This window comes from Homo sapiens, chromosome 2, assembly GCF_000001405.40.
Source record: "Homo sapiens chromosome 2, GRCh38.p14 Primary Assembly".
Lineage (NCBI taxonomy): Eukaryota > Metazoa > Chordata > Mammalia > Primates > Hominidae > Homo > Homo sapiens.
In genome coordinates, this window is record NC_000002.12 from 5963733 (window position 1) to 5981934 (window position 18202).

General features: G+C 44.8%; 1 long non-coding RNA gene and 1 other non-coding gene across 2 annotated transcripts in view, besides 3 other annotated features; both read left to right on the forward strand.

Moving 5' to 3' along the window:
- Positions 1–16486, forward strand: part of SILC1 (sciatic injury induced lincRNA upregulator of SOX11) — a 47532-nt gene extending 31046 nt beyond the window's left edge. The window contains exon 2 of the long non-coding RNA NR_026832.1: positions 4854–16486. This is a non-coding gene — a long non-coding RNA (sciatic injury induced lincRNA upregulator of SOX11). The remainder of the gene's footprint in view (positions 1–4853) is intronic.
- Positions 10497–10998: an enhancer, noted in NCBI's record as "H3K4me1 hESC enhancer chr2:6114361-6114862 (GRCh37/hg19 assembly coordinates)". NCBI's record gives its function as "activates a minimal SCP1, AML or CMV promoter by ChIP-STARR-seq in primed H9 embryonic stem cells {active_cell/tissue: H9 hESC(primed)}" and the evidence as "EXISTENCE:reporter gene assay evidence [ECO:0000049][PMID:30033119]".
- On the forward strand, positions 10930–11000 carry MIR7158 (microRNA 7158). The gene has a single exon (NR_106980.1). It is a non-coding gene; the product is annotated as a microRNA 7158 (primary transcript).
- Positions 11878–12531: an enhancer, noted in NCBI's record as "NANOG-H3K4me1 hESC enhancer chr2:6115742-6116395 (GRCh37/hg19 assembly coordinates)". NCBI's record gives its function as "activates a minimal SCP1, AML or CMV promoter by ChIP-STARR-seq in primed H9 embryonic stem cells {active_cell/tissue: H9 hESC(primed)}" and the evidence as "EXISTENCE:reporter gene assay evidence [ECO:0000049][PMID:30033119]".
- Positions 17007–17753: an enhancer, noted in NCBI's record as "H3K27ac-H3K4me1 hESC enhancer chr2:6120871-6121617 (GRCh37/hg19 assembly coordinates)". NCBI's record gives its function as "activates a minimal SCP1, AML or CMV promoter by ChIP-STARR-seq in naive and primed H9 embryonic stem cells {active_cell/tissue: H9 hESC(naive and primed)}" and the evidence as "EXISTENCE:reporter gene assay evidence [ECO:0000049][PMID:30033119]".

Consider the following 18202-nt stretch of genomic DNA (forward strand, 5'->3'; position numbering starts at 1 on the left):
AGTATTGTTATTGGTTGGTGAGGTCTTGCTTCTGTTATTTTGTTAATTTTTGCAATTGTTTTCCATTCCTTTTCATCTTTCTTCCATTTTTTATTGTTTACCTTTATAATTTAGTATTCTTTTGTACTGATAATGATTGGCTTTTTTTCTTTCTTATTTGTGTATCTGCTCTAGCAGTGAATTCATATTTTTGTGTGTTTTCACAATGGCAGATGTATTAGTCTGTTCTGACTATGCTGATAAAGAAATAGCTGAAACTGGGTAAATTATAAAGATAATAAAGAAAAAGAGGTTTAGTGGACTCACAGTTCCACATGGCTGGGGATGTCTCACAATCATGGTAGAAGGTGAAAGGCATGCCTTACACTGCAGCAGGCAAGAAAAAATGAGAGCCAAGAGAAAGAGGAAACCTCTTATAAAATTATCAGATCTTGTGAGACTTTTTCACTACCATTAGAACAGTATGGGGGAAACCACACCCATGATTCAATTATCTTCCACCAGGTCCCTCCCACAACATGTGGGAATTATGGGAGCTGCAATTCAACATGAGATATGGGTGTGGACACAGCCAAACCACCATATCATTCCACCCTTGGCCCCTCCCAAATCTCTTGTCCTCACATTTCAAAACCAATCATGCCTTCCCAAAAGTCTTCCGGAATCTTAACTCATTTCAGCATGAACTCAAAAGTCCACAGTCTAAAGTCTCATCTGAGACAAAGAAAGTCCCTTCTGCCTATGAGCCTGTAAAATCAAAAGTAAGTTAGTTACTTCCTAGATACAATGGAAGTACATAAATTGGATAAATACTCCCATTCTAATTGGGAGAAATTGGCCAAAACAAAGGAGCTTAAGGCCCCATCCAAGTCCAAAATCCAGCAGGACAGTGAAATCTTAAAGCTCCAAAATGATCTCCTTTGACTCCATATCTCACATCCAGGTCACGCTGATGCAAGAGGTGGGTTTCAATGGTCTTGAGCAGCTCTGCCCTGTGGCTTTGCCGGGTACAGCCTCCTACCTGGTGGCTTTCACAGGCTGGTATTGAGTGTCTGTGGCTTTTCCAGGTGCACAGTGCAAGCTGTCAGTGGATCTACCATTCTGAGGTCTGGGAGACAGTGGCTCTCTTCTCATAGCTCCACTAGGTGGTGTTCCATTAGGGACTCTGTATGGGGGCTCTGAACCCCCACCACATTTCCCTTCTGCACTGTCCTATCAGAGGTTCTCTATGAGGGCCTCACCCCTGTAGCAAGCTTCTTCCTGGGCACCCAGGTGTTTCCTGAAATCTTGGTGGAGGTTCCCAAACCTCAGCTCTTGACTTCTGTGCACTCACAGGCTCAACACCACGTGGAATCTGCCAGGGCTTGGGGCTTGAACCCTCTGAAGCCACAGCCTGAGCTGTATCTTGGCCCCTTTTAGCAATGGCTGGAGCAGCTGGGACACGGGGCATCAAGTCCCTAGACTGCACAGAGCACAGGGCCCTTGGCCTGGATGGGAGGGGCTGCCACAAATGTCTCTGACACGCCCTGGAGACATTTTCCCCATTGTATTGGTGATTAACATTTGGCTCCTTGTTACCATGCAAATTTCTGTAGCAGGCTGGAATTTCTCCCCAGAAAATGGGTTTTTCTTTTCCATTGCATCATTAGGCTGCAAATTTTCCAAACTTCTATGCTCTGCTTTCTTTTTAAAACTGAATCCTTTTAACAGCACCCGAGTCACCTCTTGAATGCTTTGCTGCTTAGAAATTTCTTCTGTCAGATACCCTAAATCATCTCCCTCAAGTTCAAAGTTCCATAGATCTCTAGGACAGAGGCAAAATGCAACCAGTCTCTTTGCTGAAACATAACAAGAGTCACCTTTACTCAAGTTCCCAACAAGTTCCTCTTCTCCATCTGAGACCCCCTCTGCCTGGATTTCATTGTCCCATATCACTATCGGCATTTTGGTCAAAGCCATTCAACAAGCCTCTAGGAAGTTCCAAACCTTCCCACATTTCCCTGTCTTCTTCTGAGCCCTCCAAATTGTACTAAGCTCTGACTGTTACATAGTTTCAAAGTCTCTTCCACATTTTTGAGTATCTTTACAGCAGTGCCCCACTCCCAGTACCAATTTAATGTATGTCTGTTCTCACACTGTTGATAAAGACGTACTCGAAACTGGGTGATTAATAAAAAAAAAAAGAAGTGTAATGGACTCACAGTTCTACATGGCTGGGGAGTCCTCACAATCCTGGCAGAAGGCGAAAGGTATGTATTACATGGTGGCAGGCAAGAGAGAATGAGAGCCAAGTGAGAGGGGAAACACCTTATAAAACCATCAGATCTGGTGAAACTTACTACCACAAGAGCAGTATGGGAGAAACTGCCCCCACGATTCAATTATCTCCCACCGGGTCCCTCCCACAACATGTGGGAATTACGGGAGCTACAATTCAAGATGAGATAGGGTAGTCGGTGTGGGGCACAGCCAAACCATATCAGCAGATTTTGTGTTTTTGCTTCCAGATGTAGGACTCCCCTAAGCATTTCTTGCAGGGTTGGTCTAGTGGGAATGAGTTATCTTTTTTTGCTTGTTTAGGAACAACTTTATTTCCCTTTCACTTTTAAAGTATAGCTTTGCTTTTGTGTGTGTGTGTGTGTGTGTGTGTAAGTTCTCTATGCCTTTACCCATTTCTTATTCTGGAACACCCAAAATTTAAATATTTGGCCACTTTTTGATGTCCCATATGTCTTGCATTCTCTTTTCATTCTTTCTTATTCTTTTATTTTTATTTTTTGTCTGACTGAGTTATTTCAAGAGACCTGTCTTCAAGTTCAAAAATTTCTTCTGCTTAATGCAGTGTATTGTGCTTGATGCTCTTGATTGTATTTTAAAATGTTTCATTTATTGTATTCTTCAGTTCCAGGACTTTTTGTGTGTGTGTTTTTAAATGATTTCTATATCTGCTGAACTTTTCAATCAAGTTATAATTTTCTTTCCAATTTATTTGTAGTGTTTACCCATGTTCTCTTTATTTTACCAATTTTTAATATCATTATTTTGATATTTTTAGGCATTTCATAGATTTCCTTTTCTTTGAGATCTGTTACTGGAGAATTATTGTGTTTCTTTGGAGGTGTCATGTTTTCTTGCTTTTTATTTTTTGTGTCTTTATGTTGATATCTGCACAACTGGTGTACCAGTCATTTTGTCCAATGTTACGTATTGGATGAAAATCTTTCATAAGGAATTTTTTTTATAAAGATACATCTACAATGTGCATTGGGCAGGGTGCTTTCACTTGTACTCTGGGTGGGTGTAGAAGTGTGGTCTCTGCATGATTTCTTTAACTGTGATCAACATCAGTGATGTCTGTGAATTCCTCAGTGGCTTAGGTGGCAGTTGTTATTGGAGGCTGTGGCAAGACTTTCCTGTGGACAGGGGCTCCAGGAGGGCTGGTCCTTGGGCACCAGTGATGTCATTGGTGGGTTGGGGGTGCCAGTCCTTGGGCCCCTGGGTGGTGTGCATGGCATTGGTAGTGGCAGTGGTGGTGGTGGGCCAACCCATGGCTCCCATGTGCCTTGCACAGATGCCTGTGGTGGATGGCTTGTGGGTGGGCTGGTATCAAAGTCAGCTAAAGGTACATTCAGGTATGTGATCACCCTGCCACTGGAGGAGATTGTGTTGCTGTCAGTGGCAGTGGTCCCTGGCAGTCAGCTCTCAGACTCTGGGGAGTACACACTTCCTTTGTCCCCAAGGCAGCCTCCTGCTGCACTGCACCACCCATTTTCCAGAGTGTAGGACACTGTGTGGGTTAGAGTGCTGTTGCTCCAGATGCGCCACTGTGTCCAGCCAGCATTGCAATGCTGCAGCCCTCTGGGTGGATGTAGGGGAATGTCAGTGGGGCTTAAGGTTTGTGGAGGTGCAGGTGCTGTTGGTCCCCAGGGCGGGATGTAGTCTGGTGTGGACTGGGCTCTCAGAATGGCATCATGTTGCAGTTATTTGGGTCTTGGGGGTGTTTGGCATCCAGTGCAAAGTCTCTCCCTGAGACAATGCCATCACATAGACTGCAGGCAGCTTTCTATACCAGTCTAAGGGCCCACGAGGGCCAAGGGGCTCACCTACGGCTAGGGTTGAAAGAGTCCTTGGTGCGAACGTGAACCACTAGGGATCTCTTGCTTACCACTTTTCCACAGTGGGGAGCTCCTTCTCTACATTTTTAAAATATAAAACTGTTCTAAAAAATAAAATCAATTTTTTAAAAGGCAAGGTCATGGAGATGAGTTTACCGGAGTCAGACCTTTAATCTGGTAAGATTTAAATAAGTGGAGCTCAGAGACAGAATCCCCATCCCACGATCGCCGGGACCTGGCTCAGAGACAGAATCCCCATCCCACGATCGCCGGGACCTGGCAGCAAAGGAGCTTGGAATACACAGAGCTTTGACTTACCTTTGGGGAGATTCCAGGGGATCTTGGTCTCATGACTGTTTACTTTCTTTTGGATAGGGAAGAAGCCATGGGCTTAGACCATTCTTTCATGAAACAAGATAAATGGGAAGCCCAACATCAATTTAATATGCCTTAGGGAAGAGGGAAAAAGGTTTCAGATAGAACTTGCTTGAAGCCTGGGTTTGCTGCCTGTTAGCTGTTTGTCTTTGAGCACATCACATAGTATCTCTGGATGTATTTCATAGCTTACATTTTACCAGAGTTCATTGGTAAAATGCAAATAATTATATTAATATCTACACATCAGAGGGAGTTGTGAATATTCAATTATATAACTTAGGGAAATGCCCAGAATAGTGTTGACATGTTTTCAGCTACTAACATTTTCTTTTTCTTCTTTTCTTCCCTTTTGATAAACAGGAGAAAGAGCAAATGAGAGGCAGTTGCACTTTTTCAGGTGTCAGGCTGGAGGAAGCCACTTGAAGATGAATCTACCTCTGCCTTAGGATTGCCTGATGGCCTGTGCCATTCCATGTTATATCTACTGATTTGCTCCCTGTATTCAAAGATTTTTTTTTTTTACTTAATTCTCTCTTACTGACCCTGAGAGTGACCATATTTTTAACCAATTTGGTCTTCAGCCTCAAAACTTAGCTCTTTCCTTTTGTGGTCCCCGAATCCTATCACGTGTCATGGTGGCTGTGAAGATGTTTGCCAAGCCTGCTGAGAAGGCTCATCTGTGGCATCCAAAAGCAGAGATTTCAACTCTGGACCCCTGTGACCTGCCTTTGTAATTATGGATACCCAGCACTGTTTTGAAATATCAGTGGACATCCAGTTTTTAAAAGCCCTCAGAGCTTTGGGAGACACCCCTTTATCTCTCTGGCATGTCAGAGAACCGATTCAACCCTTCTCATCTCCTCCTCCTTCCCTCTCTTGGGCCATCAGGATGCGGCAGCAACTCACTGTGCATGTTTTTACAGCTCTTCTCCAGTAATGCTGCCATTTCCACTGCAGACCACAGGATAAAAGGACCGCTTCACCGTGGCCCAGGATACCCTTTTAAGTAGGAGGTAACTATTCAGTTTCGTAGTGGCCCATACATAAACTTGATTATGTTCTTCGTTGCTCCAATATACTATTTGTGTGTTTTGTTTTTTCCAGAGGGAGAAGAAAGTACTGCTTTGATCTAAAATTAAGCAAACGTTCTTCAATAAACCCACCATGAGACTTGACCACTAATGGTGACCAGCAGTGGCTTTGTCATGGCCCTGCCCACTGGGGGCAGGCACATGCCGGGGCCAGGGCAGGCTGCCAGCTGGTGAGCACGAATAGGTGGCTGGTGGAGCGCATGCAGTGGGAAGGGCAGATGGCTCCATTTTGATTTGTTAGCAGGCCACTTCCTCGGAAGGGGCTTTCCCTTCAGTGGGGTCTGCACCGCCAGCCTCAGCTGTCTTGGAGCAGATGTGTATAGTTAGAGATGGGGACCTTTTCACTGTAAATACTGCTCACATGTTCCTAGGCTGACTTTACTATGTGCAGAGCCTCTTCTCAAATATCCAAATCCCCTCTGTTGGGTACTACAGAACAGATGTTACCCTGCCTCCTATTACATTAATTTACGAACTTTACATATGCTGAGTTACGGACCCTAAGCTGTTGCATGTGCTTGGCTCTTATGTTCCAAAAAGTACATTTGTATGGTTTTGTGGAAACTGTGCTGTTCTGCTTTTGCAGTCTGTGAGATTCTGATTTTTTTTTTCTCATCAGCAATTATCCTTGTCTTGGAACATCAGAGCTTGAAGAAAGGGATTCTAGCAGCCCACCTCTCTCCTTCCTAATCCAGATGGTTAGAGGCTTAGAGAGAGGTGGTGGTTGCTCTGAGTTTACCAGATTCAGTGACAAACCCCTTCTAATTTCTAATCAATCTGGCAGCCTTCATTTACCAAAAGTTGACTTTTGATAGTATAACTTTTATACACCGTGAGACAACTTATTTTAAAAAACAGTTTAGAAATATTTAATTTTTTTTTGAAAGACTTTTTAAGGTCAGGCACCATGGGTCATGCCTATCATCTCAACGCTTTGAGGACTGAAGTGGGAGGATCATTTGAGGCCAAGATTTCAAGATCAGCTTGGGCAACATAGTGAGACTCTGTCTCTAAAAAATTAAAAAAAAAAATAGCCAGGTGTGGTGGCGCATGCCTGTAGTCCCAGCTACTTCGGAGGCTGAAGTGGGAGGATCCATTGAGCCTAAGAGATGGCGATTGAGTAAGCCATGATTGCACCACTGCACTCCAGCCTGGACGACAGAGATGTCAGAAAAAAATTAGTTTTATTATTATTAGTTTATAATAATATTATTTTAATATTAATATTATTTAATAATTTCATATTATTTATTATTATTAGTTTTATTATTAGCAAAACTGAGTGGAAGGCACAGAGATTTTCCATATTCTTCCTGCCTCTCCAACAAACATGTCTCCCTCATTATCAACATTTCTTCCCAGAGTGGTACACTTTTTATAATTGATGATCCTACACTGACACATCATCATCACAATGAGTTCATAGTTGACGCCAGGGTTCACTCTTGGTGTTGTACATTCCAGGCATTTGGACAAATGTATAATGACATGACTCCACCATTTTAGTATCATACAGACGAGTTTCACTGCCCTAAAATCCTCTGTGCTCCACTGATACTTACTCCTTCATCCCCTTGCTCCCTCAGCCCCTGACAACCACTGATCTTTTTATTGTCTCCATAGTTTGGTCTTATTTAATATTTTTTGAGGTTGCACTGTTGCCCCAGGACATCGTATGAGTAGAGGGTTAACCACCTTAGCCAAGAGTAATTTGGTCTGGTGAGTTCTCCACCTTCAGGACAAAAGCATTTCAGAACCATCCTAACAATAGTGTTCCCATAAGTAACCAGACACTGTTTGTATCCATAGCAACATGGCTCCATGAGCCCTGCTTCCGAGGAGCAGCTGCCCTTCCTGGGCACTGTCAAGAGTTGTTCTTCTCTGACATCCACACCCTTCTTTACCTGGCACATACCCCAGCCCAGGCACCAGGCATCCAGGGCCTTCTATGGCTGTCCGGATGCATTCCTTCACAGCTGGAATGTGGTTGGCTTGTTGACTTCTGTTCCCAGCATAGTGAACAGTGGGCACTATAAGCCAGTAGGCACTCAATTGATGATTCTTCAATGAAATAATTGATGCCACTTTTAGGTCAGTCTTTCTTGTACGTTACACCTTCTGTTGTTCAACAGAGCCCCACAATATCCCAGAACTTGGAGGTCTTATCTCGGGGTTTCTCAGATGTTGGAGTACCCAGGTATCACCTGCTGAGCCAGTTTCCCTGGCCTCACCTGCAGGGGCTCTGAGTCAGTAAATCTGGGGCAGGCCCAGTACTTTGCATGTGAGCACAGACCCAGGTGTTTCTGAACCTGGTGGTCCAGGGACTGCTGCAGGAAGGAGCCAATAGGACTGCATGCCTTAGAGGCAGTGGGTCTCATCCATCCCTATCTATGGCACTGACTACAGGCCATGTCCAGGCCACATGGGCACATGCTATTATAATTATTTTGTGTGATGGATGAGTTACAGAACTGGAGCCCTAAGACCTGAGTTCTAGTTTCAGCTCTGCCAGTTGCTGGCTGATTGAAACTGAACAAGCCACCTGCCTTCCCTGAGACTGTCTCTTCTCCTGTGAAATTAGGGCATTAGAATACATGAAGACCCCTTTATGTCCTTAATAACCTGTAAGTTTAAGAACCTAGGGAATCTCCATGCTGGTGGCTGCGGTTATATCCCCTTATCCTCAACTCGTGAAGAAAGAGTCAAAAATGGCAGCAGGGTTGTGTCAACTGCTCTCCTCAGCAGCTATCATAAGGGAATTGCCTTTGTCATTTTCCCCAGCCATCACCACACTCCCACACGGCCACCATCACCTAAACCATCTGGCAGTGGGGGTTACCTCCTAAATCTAAGACGCAGAGACCCACCGCAGGCCTTTCTTTCTGGCTGCCCTCCACTCCCACCCAGAGGCTCAGTTTTGCTGGGCTGCACACCTCCGAGGACTCAGTTCTTTGTGTTTCATGTTGTTTCATATCCACTAGTGTTACAGAAACTGCTGCAAACCAGGGACCAAAAGTCCATAGGTTCTAATTCTAGCTGTGACACTAGTGAGATGAGTGACTGCTGGCAAGTTACTTTATCTATCTGACCTCACCTCCCATGTACAAAATTGGGTCTGTATGCACATTTGTGGTTCTAAATCCTGGAGTCCAAATCAGAGTTCTTTGTGCAAAATATACGTAGCTAGGTCCTAACCTCGGAGATCCTGACTCAGTCTGGGGAAAGGCGCAGATCTTGGGGAGAAAACAACTCTCTAGAAGAGTCTCGCCTTCAGTGAGTGACAAGATCTCTCCTGTCTCTCGGTTCACAATGTTACCCTAACTAATCCATCCTCTGATGTCACCTGCTAACAACTTCCCCTGTGGCATCAAACCAGTAGCCCATTTGCAGCTAGTACAAACACTTCTTTACATTTAAGTTTTGTTTACGAGATTTAGCCTACAATCATAGAGGCTGCCAGCTGGGTTTCAAATGTGTATGTTCCATTGCTAATAGGAAAAACTGCATCTATTAGAAAAATTCTCTCTGGGAGCTGAGCACAGAGGCAGGCCTTGTATTGCAAACATTTGAAAAGCCATAAGCAGGTATTCTGGACTGTGTTTTAGATCACCTGAGAACATTTCTTGAACACTAGTATTTGCTTAGAGTGACAAACCTATTAAGTGGTTCTTTCAGGTAAGTTTGCATCCAAGCAATGTCGTCTGAATCGCAGGAGGAAGTCAGGAGTTGTGTCTGGCTTTCTGGCCATACAAATGGCATATGGGAAAGTCATTGTATATTATTAATATCCTTTGATGTATATTATTATGACTTTCTCACGGTAGTAATGTTGTTGGTTTTTATTAATGTTATTTTTATAGCAATGCTAATATTATGAGCTAAAAGTTTCTGAGCATCTGCTGGGTGCCAAAAATTCTTATAAATGCTTTACATGCATTAGCTCCTAACAACACTTTGAAGTAATTCTTATTGTCCTTACTTGACATATACAGGAATAAAAACCTGACCATTAGACCGAGCGTGGTGGCTCACGCCTGTAATCCCAACACTTTGGGAGGCCGAGGCAGGCGGATCACCTGAGGTCAGGAGTTTGAGACCAGCCTGGCCACCATGGTGAGACCCCGTCTCTACTAAAAACACACAAAAAATTAGCCGGGCGTGGTGGTGGGTACTTGTAATCTCAGCTACCCGGGAGGCTAATGCAGGAGAATCGCTTGAACCCAGGAGGCGGAGGTTGCAGTGAGCCAAGATTGCGCCATTGCACTCCAGCCTGGGCAACAAGAGCAAAACTCTTTCAAATAAACAAACAAAACCTAAGCATTTGAGGGGTTTGGCCTGGGCAGTGGAGCTTGTGAGCTATATGAGCTGGAATCTGAGTCAAGGCTGGGCTGGTGAAAGGAGTTCACTCAAGTTCCCAAGGTATTCTGTCCTCCAGGACTCTGAATCACCTGGGAGGAGAAGGAATTGTGGCGGGCCTAACACCTTTTCTTTCCCAAACACCAAGAGCAGGTTCTTTCTGTTACATCCATTGAGGTCACATTCTTGAAGTGCATTTTGAGGAAGTCATTATTTTCGCTACAGCAGGGACTGATGTATCAGTCTATTAGAATTCAGAAAAAAGTAAGCAAACAAAAAACGTGTTGGAATTATTCTCTTCTAGCATTTTGAAATGTACAATGGTTAATGTTAACTATAGCCACCATGATGTATTGAAGACCAGGTCTTATTCTTTTTATCTAACTGTACATTTGTACCCATTAACCTAATGCTCATAGCATCAAGAAAAGATCAATATTTAAGGTGACAAATATCCCAATTATGCTGATTTGATTATATGAATGTGTTGAATTATCATATGTACTCCCAAAATATGCACATCTAAGATGTATCAATAAAAATAAAGACAAAAATTAAAGCTTTTACAGTAGAAAAAAGGTTTTAGAGAAATTATGATTACTTGATTCACCTAAACTGACAGTCTTGCTTGGAATGAATTACTGCTTTTTGTAACATAGTTTTAGAAGAGAGATTCACATTTAATGTTACTTTGTGCTAAGCACTGTAATCCATGCCTGGGTGCTCACAGCGCTCCTCTGGGACCAGGCATCACCATCTCCTCTGTAAAAGGAAGGTCAGCCTGTTGCCAAGACCACAGGATAAACGGCTTGGCTGATTTAGGAAACCCAGTTGGTCTTATGACAAAACATGCGCATTTGCCCTTCACCAGGTGATTTTTCTGTAGGGTTATCTTCAACAGTCCGACAAAGCTGTGTTCCACCAGCTCAGGCAGGCTGTGACCAGGATCACCAGCCATGTGGCATCAGGAAGAAGGGGCTGTGTGGCCAGGCTCAATCTCTGGTCCTGCAGCCTTCTGCCTTTGGCTTTCTGAAGCGAGCTGAACTAGAGATTGGGCCCAGCTCGGCAGCGCAGTTTCAGGAGAGCCAGGATACAAACCATCCCAGTCTCTGTTCCCACAAAGGAGAAGCTAAACCATTTTTTATTTGCCCATTCTAAGTGCTAAGTGATATGCAACTGCTTCACATAAGCCTTCCAGCCTTCCAGCCGACTCTGCTTTCAGGAGATATCCTTATGTCCCTTTTGCATGGCTTAGGAGAGTGAAGCACGTGAGAATTGAACGAGGGGTCAAGGGTCACATAACACATGAGCACGAAACCGGGACTCTCCTGGGGTATCAGACCCCAAAGCCAGTGGTCTGCGCTTGATCTTTGCTAACGTCCGAGAAGCAATAAGTCCAGGGCTCTTGACACATTATTGTGCATTTTACTTTGGGAGGGACTGTGGGTCCACTCTGCTTTTAACAGGAGGAAATTAAATATTTACATTTGATTCCAGTTTGGCCCCATGACTGTCCGGCTTCTTTCCTGTCAAAGGCCCAAATTCCCTGTTTTAAAGTAGAGGGTGAATTTGTGTAATGAGGATGGATCGGGCACGTGTAGAACACACTCTTTCACCTGCAGATTCACACTCCAAACACAAAGAAATACTGGATCATATATGGTATATTTTAAAAGATGCCATAGGCATACTTAAAAAGCACAACAGAATTCTATTTTCTCACGTCAGAGGGCAGAGTCTTATGAGCTATTGAGAGGAAAACTGTATCTTAGGGGTTGAGAGCCTAACGTCTGCTTGGGGGTGTTTGTGGCCCTGGCAGCTGTTGTGTGCAGTGCACATTAGAACTGAGCAGCTTTATAAAGCCAGGAACAAGGGTAGAGTCCCTGTGTCTCTGAATAGAAATTAGCGATGCTTAGCCTTCTGTACCAAGGAATGCATCACAAAAGCTAATGCTGGGACTGGGCCTGGTGTGGGATAGGAGTCACACAGAGGAGTCAGAACGCCAACTGTGGCTGGTGTAAGGGGCCTCCATTCACACTGTCTTTGCTGTTTGGAAAATCTGAGCAAGAATTTAAGGTAAAAGCTGATGTGGAACAGCTTGCAACCCAAAAGTCTCAAGCCCAGCATAAAAATCATTGCTCCAGTGAAGATGCCTGCAGAGCTCAAGGCATTTCTGAGACTCCATGGGAGAATGATTCCTAAGGAAGGTGTGCCCCCAGCACCTGTGGAGACTCATCACCTTGAGGGCAAACAGACTCTGTAAAAGGAGAATTCACCTCTAAGGAGCTGCAGACAATAGAGGGATTAAAATGGGCCTTTGATCATTCAAAAAGCATTTTAAAGGAAAAAATAAAGTAACATAATCCAAATTCCAACAGGAGACTTGAAAAAGAAGGTAATAACAAAATGGAAAATAAAGTCACTGAAATAAAGCAAGTGAGTTGGACTATGAATGTCTCCTGTCCATTAGCTGTGTCCCCGGCTGCAAGGTCCATGGGGACTGTGCCTCCCTTGACCTTGAATCTCAATGCCTTAGCAAAGTGCCTGGTTCTGGGTAGGTTCACAGTACACATGTACCTCCCAAATGGATGGATTGCCAACTTAAATGTTCATAGGAAGGTGCTATTTTCAGGCACTTCAGGTGTGGACATCGGTGTTGTCAGATCTTTTCTGTTCTAGCCAGGCATTGTGGACATCACCTTACTATGTGAGGGAACAAGCTGCATTGGTGGAGAGGAAACCAGCAGGAGCACAATAGTGACCCATTTCTCTTGTCTTATGCACTGCAGTGGAAATAGCCCAGTGTGCATGGTGGATTTTATTATGGTGCCAGTAGAAAGATAGGGGGTTTCCTCTATGAGCTGGCTGACTTACATGAGCTCATTCTCTGCAGCATTTCTCTAGCCATCTCCTGTCACATCGTTTATTGTGTTCACTAGTCCTGTGCTAACGAGGATCTTTGAAAAATGACTGGTATGGTAATGATCTACGGAACTTACTGTAGATAGCAATTAAATATCGTTAACGGCGGGTTACGCTGACACATTAAAAGGCCTACAGGCTGCGATTTATGAAGACAGCTCTGCTGCCTCCTTTGTATGTGATGCATTTCTCTGGTTTCGGCTTAGGCTGTCTGGTCTCAGAAGGGAATGATTTCCAGGCTTTCCCCATCATCACTCCAGTTGCCAGGCCACCCACAATCACATTAGCAAGCTTTATTGTCCCTATTGCACCTCCTAATGCCCTCAGGGTGCTTGAGGTAGCTTTTATCAAGGTAAGGCCTAGGTCAACATTTTGTTGTGCAGAAAAGGCATCTGCTTTCAGAGGAGAAAATTTAGATACAATATTGAGGTGAATCTTATAAGTGATGTAAGATAATTTGATGACAAGAATTGAGATTATATGCTGAGATCTTACTGTCTTAAACTTTGTTGATTTCTGAAAATAATAGAAATGCAATCCTAGCTAAAGGAAGAGAAGTAGTCTAGCTCACCAGTGGCCAGCAAACTCTGTAAAGAAGTATTGCCTTCATGCAGCAATCTCACCTAATATGAGACTCCAGATAGAAGATAGCTCCTGAGAAGTCAAAACACAAACCAATATCATGTAAATTACTCTCACGTGAAAAATAGACAAGAGATAACCAACCCAGTCCCAACCGTCTCACACCCCCACTGGCCTCCTGCACTCATGGATGCCACATTCTTCAACATTTGTACTTCTGTTAACAGAGTTAAAGTAGAGCAAACATAGGCTCTTTTACCAAGAGCGTATGGACTAAATACAGATGCAATGCTAATAACCACATGGGAAAAACAAGATCCTGAGACACTGTTATGTTTTTCTCCCTCTTTTGTGGCCAAGAGTGTGTGCTCTCTTGCCTTTGTAGATTTTGCTCACGTTTTTGGGTGATAGGACCAAAAGCAGTAGTGTCTAGGCCACTAGGAGACAAGGCAAACCATTATCTGTGAAAGCCTGGGTTTTCTGAGAGGAAGCATGCTGGACACTGCCAGTAGAGGGAGAAGTCATGGTGTGAAGTTTTCCATGATGAGAGATAAGGACAGCTAGGGCATGGGGATGCAGAGGATGTTCTTGTTGTTGATGGTGTTGTGGAGGTTGTACCCCAAGTCTCTGGGATAAGACAGCCCCATGCACATAGAGGTCATGAAAAATGTGAGGACCCTGGACACTGAGTGTCACGGCTTTGGGGACAGTGATGACATGTCCCTGTGTCCAAACAGCTCAGTCAGCTTATCTAAAAGGGATGGAGAGTACTTCTGTGGGAACAGTTGGAGCTGAAGAACAGAGAACATTTCCTTTGATGTTTGGACTCTACGGAATCTTTGGGAATTGTGTTCAAGTCCAGGAGGAATGGCTGAAAACATGATTGAGATAAATTTGCAGCCAGGAGGTTGAAGACAAATTAGGATCTGATTTTATTCAACTGGGAGTAACCATGGCCAAGCATAATTCTTCTGGTGGATTCTGAAGTTATTTGGAATTTGCCCATAAGATGAATTTTCCTGAAGAAGGAAGGATGTGGAGGCTGATACTGAGGCCCCATTTCCACATGTGAACTTCTAAGAAACCACAGCTTTCATCCAGAGTGGAGATGAATGGCACTGGGGTCCACGTTGCCAGAATGCCTGGGGACAAGGAATGAGGACTTGTCACCCAAGGCACGAGATCCATAGTGGCTACGGGAATGAAGCCACTGCCTTTGTGGAAATGACTAATTCACCCAAATCCAAGGTGTTTTCCACAACTGAGAGGCCTGGGCTGAGGATAGAGATTTGAGCCTTAACTGAGACATCCTACTGGGAAGTTGCATCAGTGGTCAGTATCTGAGGCCACAGAAAATGTCACATGATGGTGTGTCACAGGGCTCCACATTTAGGACATTTGTGTACTCAAAGAGAATCTTTGACGACCATGACTCAGAGAAATTTTTAATGACTTAAAACAGGTTTTGGATCATGTTGATGATGACAGATGGTGCAAGCCACCTACCTAAATCCCTCTGGGGAGGGGTGGTATTTCTGCATTGTTCTCAGAGCAGAAATGTGACATGGATGTGGAGGCTCTGGACAGTGAGATGTGAAGCTGGAGGCATGGCTTGGCCTCCCTAGAATGGGTGTGGCCAGGGCAAAGCTGGGACATCCTCAACCCAAAGGTTTGCATAACTGGATTTGAACTCCTTATAGATATTCCTAAACAGTGGTGATACGGAAGGGAGAGGAGGAGGAAAAAAGGATGGCTCTTCATCAAGAGCAAAAGCAAGAGATTCAGATAGGAGATTTCACTTGGCTTTTCTAGTCTTGGGTGGGGACCCATTATGGAAGTGAAGAGCTCTGGAATCTTCCAGAGAAACAAGCATGGGTATCCTTTAACAGGTCCCAGATAGCCAGTTACCGCAGAACAATGTCCTGTTACCAGAAGCTTATTGCAGACCTTGTAACCTGAATCATTGTGTTGGCCCAGGGCACACCCAGGAGGGTGGCTTGGGAAGGAGATTCCAGGCTGAGGTAAATACCGACATCTGATTTCCTGACATTGAGTAGGAAAGCATTTCAGAGACAAGCTCCAAGAGCTTTGGAAAGGGGAACATTCACCCACTTCCCACAATTTATAAGGGGGCTGGCAGTGGTTGTTTTGGGGAGGATAATAATGGGAAAAGAGAACGGGGTATGTTATGGCACACAGAACCAAAAATGAAGATTCCTAAGTAGTAATCTATTAGTGAGGGAATTCTTGGGCAATTTCAAAAAACTCAAAACGTGTTACAGAGAGGAGCCCCTTGGACTTTGTAGGAGACTCGTTTGTCTATCTGGCCCCAAGGCCCAGAAGTAGCTGACAAAGAGACCCAGTTGTCCCCTGGATGCCAAACTTGGGGAGAGAATGGTCCTGGGTGGCAGCCCCTCCCCATCCAGCCTCAGTCAGAGCTCTCCAGCAAGTCAGCCTGCAGGTAGCTATGGAGTTGCAGTGTAGTCCTGTTATTAATGGCTTTCTGCTTTGGCTGGATTTCAGACATAAAGAAGAGAAGAAGGAAAGGTCTGGGTGATCTGCCTCTTCTGATAACACTAAAGTTGCACACATCACCTCAGCTCATATTTGATGGGCTGGGACTTAGTCACTAAGCCACACCCATCTGCAAAAGTGCTGGAAAGCGTTGCACTCTCTGATGACCACATGCCCAGCTAAATATTGAGGTCATATATTCCTATATAATAAGACATAAGCAAAGTGCAGTCACTGAGAATCACTAGCAGTTTACACCACGAGTATCTTCACAGCCCAGAAAAGACACTGGGTTGAGTTAAAATGAAAACTGGAATAAATACAATGAGAAGATAGAAAGCCTGCTGAGAACACTGGGGTACTTGAGTGGAACTTTAAACAGTGTCTTTGCTAATGTGTATGGTAACTGTTCAGATTGTCTGTTTCTTTAAGCTAATTGTTTTCTGATTGTTGAAGCAATAATAACTCATATCTTGCTTGAGAAAAAATTAAAAAGTATGAAAAATCAAATATAATTATCACACTACCAAGAGGTATTACTGCTTCCGTGTTGATATGTATTCTTCTTGTATTTTCTACAGATACGCACCCACACAGACACTTTCATGTTTATAATAGAATTCGAATGTATATATTTATATCTTATAACTGGATTTCTTTCATTGAAATAATTTGATCAGGTATCTTTTCTCTTGGATGCGTCCTAACAGTTCTTTCTTTCTCTGATAGAGCCAGATCAAGGAAAGAGACAGGAAAGCAGATGATTTTACCTGCCTTCCCTAAGTGCACTCGGGAAGAGAAGGATCATCTCAAAAAGGGTTAAGGAATGAGATCATGGAAATCACTTACACACGCGGTCGCGGCTTGGACTTGGCTAGTGAGGCCGGCCTGCCCACTCTGCTTCCATTCACTCAGACACAGCTTGGGCTTTTCCTCCAAGTGCTGGTAGCAGTCATTTATGAGGGAGGAAAGGAGCAGAATAAACACACTTCTCAGCTCCCAGGCACTCTGTGTGTGTAGACAGAGGCTCGGGTGGATGAGAAACCTCAGCACACCCATGATCTTTGTCAAGGCTGGAGACTTGCAGTGCACACTCCAGGCCTGTGGAAATGGTTCCACCTGGGTCCCTCTATTGCTCCTCAGCTGCCACATTAGGGCACCTCGCCCAAGTCCACGTGTGGGATGTGCCTGCCTGTGGCCCACCTAACGTATGCAGTCTGTCTGGAGTGCCAGGCACAGGCTCCTCACGTGGGCTTCAGCTGGAATTGAAAACTGCATTTCTCAAGGTCAGCTTTTCCTTGCCCCACAGGCTAGCTTTAGTAACTAGCAATGTGTGTGCACGTGTGTGCGTGTGTCTATGTGCGCACACGTGTGTGTGTGTTAAGTGAGTGGGAGAAAGGAAGGGGAGGGGAGACCCAGCTATATAAGCACGTTATTTATTCCCAAGTCTGTCCTAGTTAGGAAAATATTCCCTAGGATCTCAGTATGAATTAACATTCTTTAAACACACACACACACACACACACACACACACACACACACACACACACACGCCTCGTGCTCTCCTTCTCCTCCTCCTGACATGATGGACGGCAGGCGCAGCCCAGGGGCCCGCAGGTCACGCTGTGTCCACGAATCCCTCTGGGGGCTCTTCTTTCCCTGGGTCCTCCATGAAGGTCTGAAACAGCCCGGACCCTGCTCCCCATTTCTTCCCAGCTCAACCTGCACCTCCCCCGGCTTCAGGCGCTGAAGGAGGCAGGGTTCTTCTTTGTTAAGGATCCAGAGGGCAGGCACCGAGGGTGCTGGAAGGGCTGAAGGGGGTGGAGGGAGAAGCCACCCTGCCACACAGGCTCCCGTCGGCCCCAGCAAGAGCCTCCCCAGCTGCCGGCAGCATCCTGTGATCCCCGGAGAGATTTTTCATGAGGGCTGTATATTTGGAGAGAGAGAGGAAAAGGCAGCTAGCCCAGGGAGGAAGCAACCCCACACGAATAGCGGCTGCATCATAAATATTTCTAGATAGCAAATAGCCCATTAAAAGCCCACATTGTAATGCCTTGGAGGGGGGCTGCCTTTCCCTGCAATACCCCGGGACCGTCGGTAAAGCAGGCTTTGTCATCGTCTGCGTTTTCGCCGCGGCGCTGTCCTGTCTCAGCTCCTCCTGACTCAGCTGAAGGGGGCTGGTGAATAATGCATCACCTAGGGAGAGGCGCTGGGGCTGCGGGGCACAGCTGAGCGTGTGCAGAG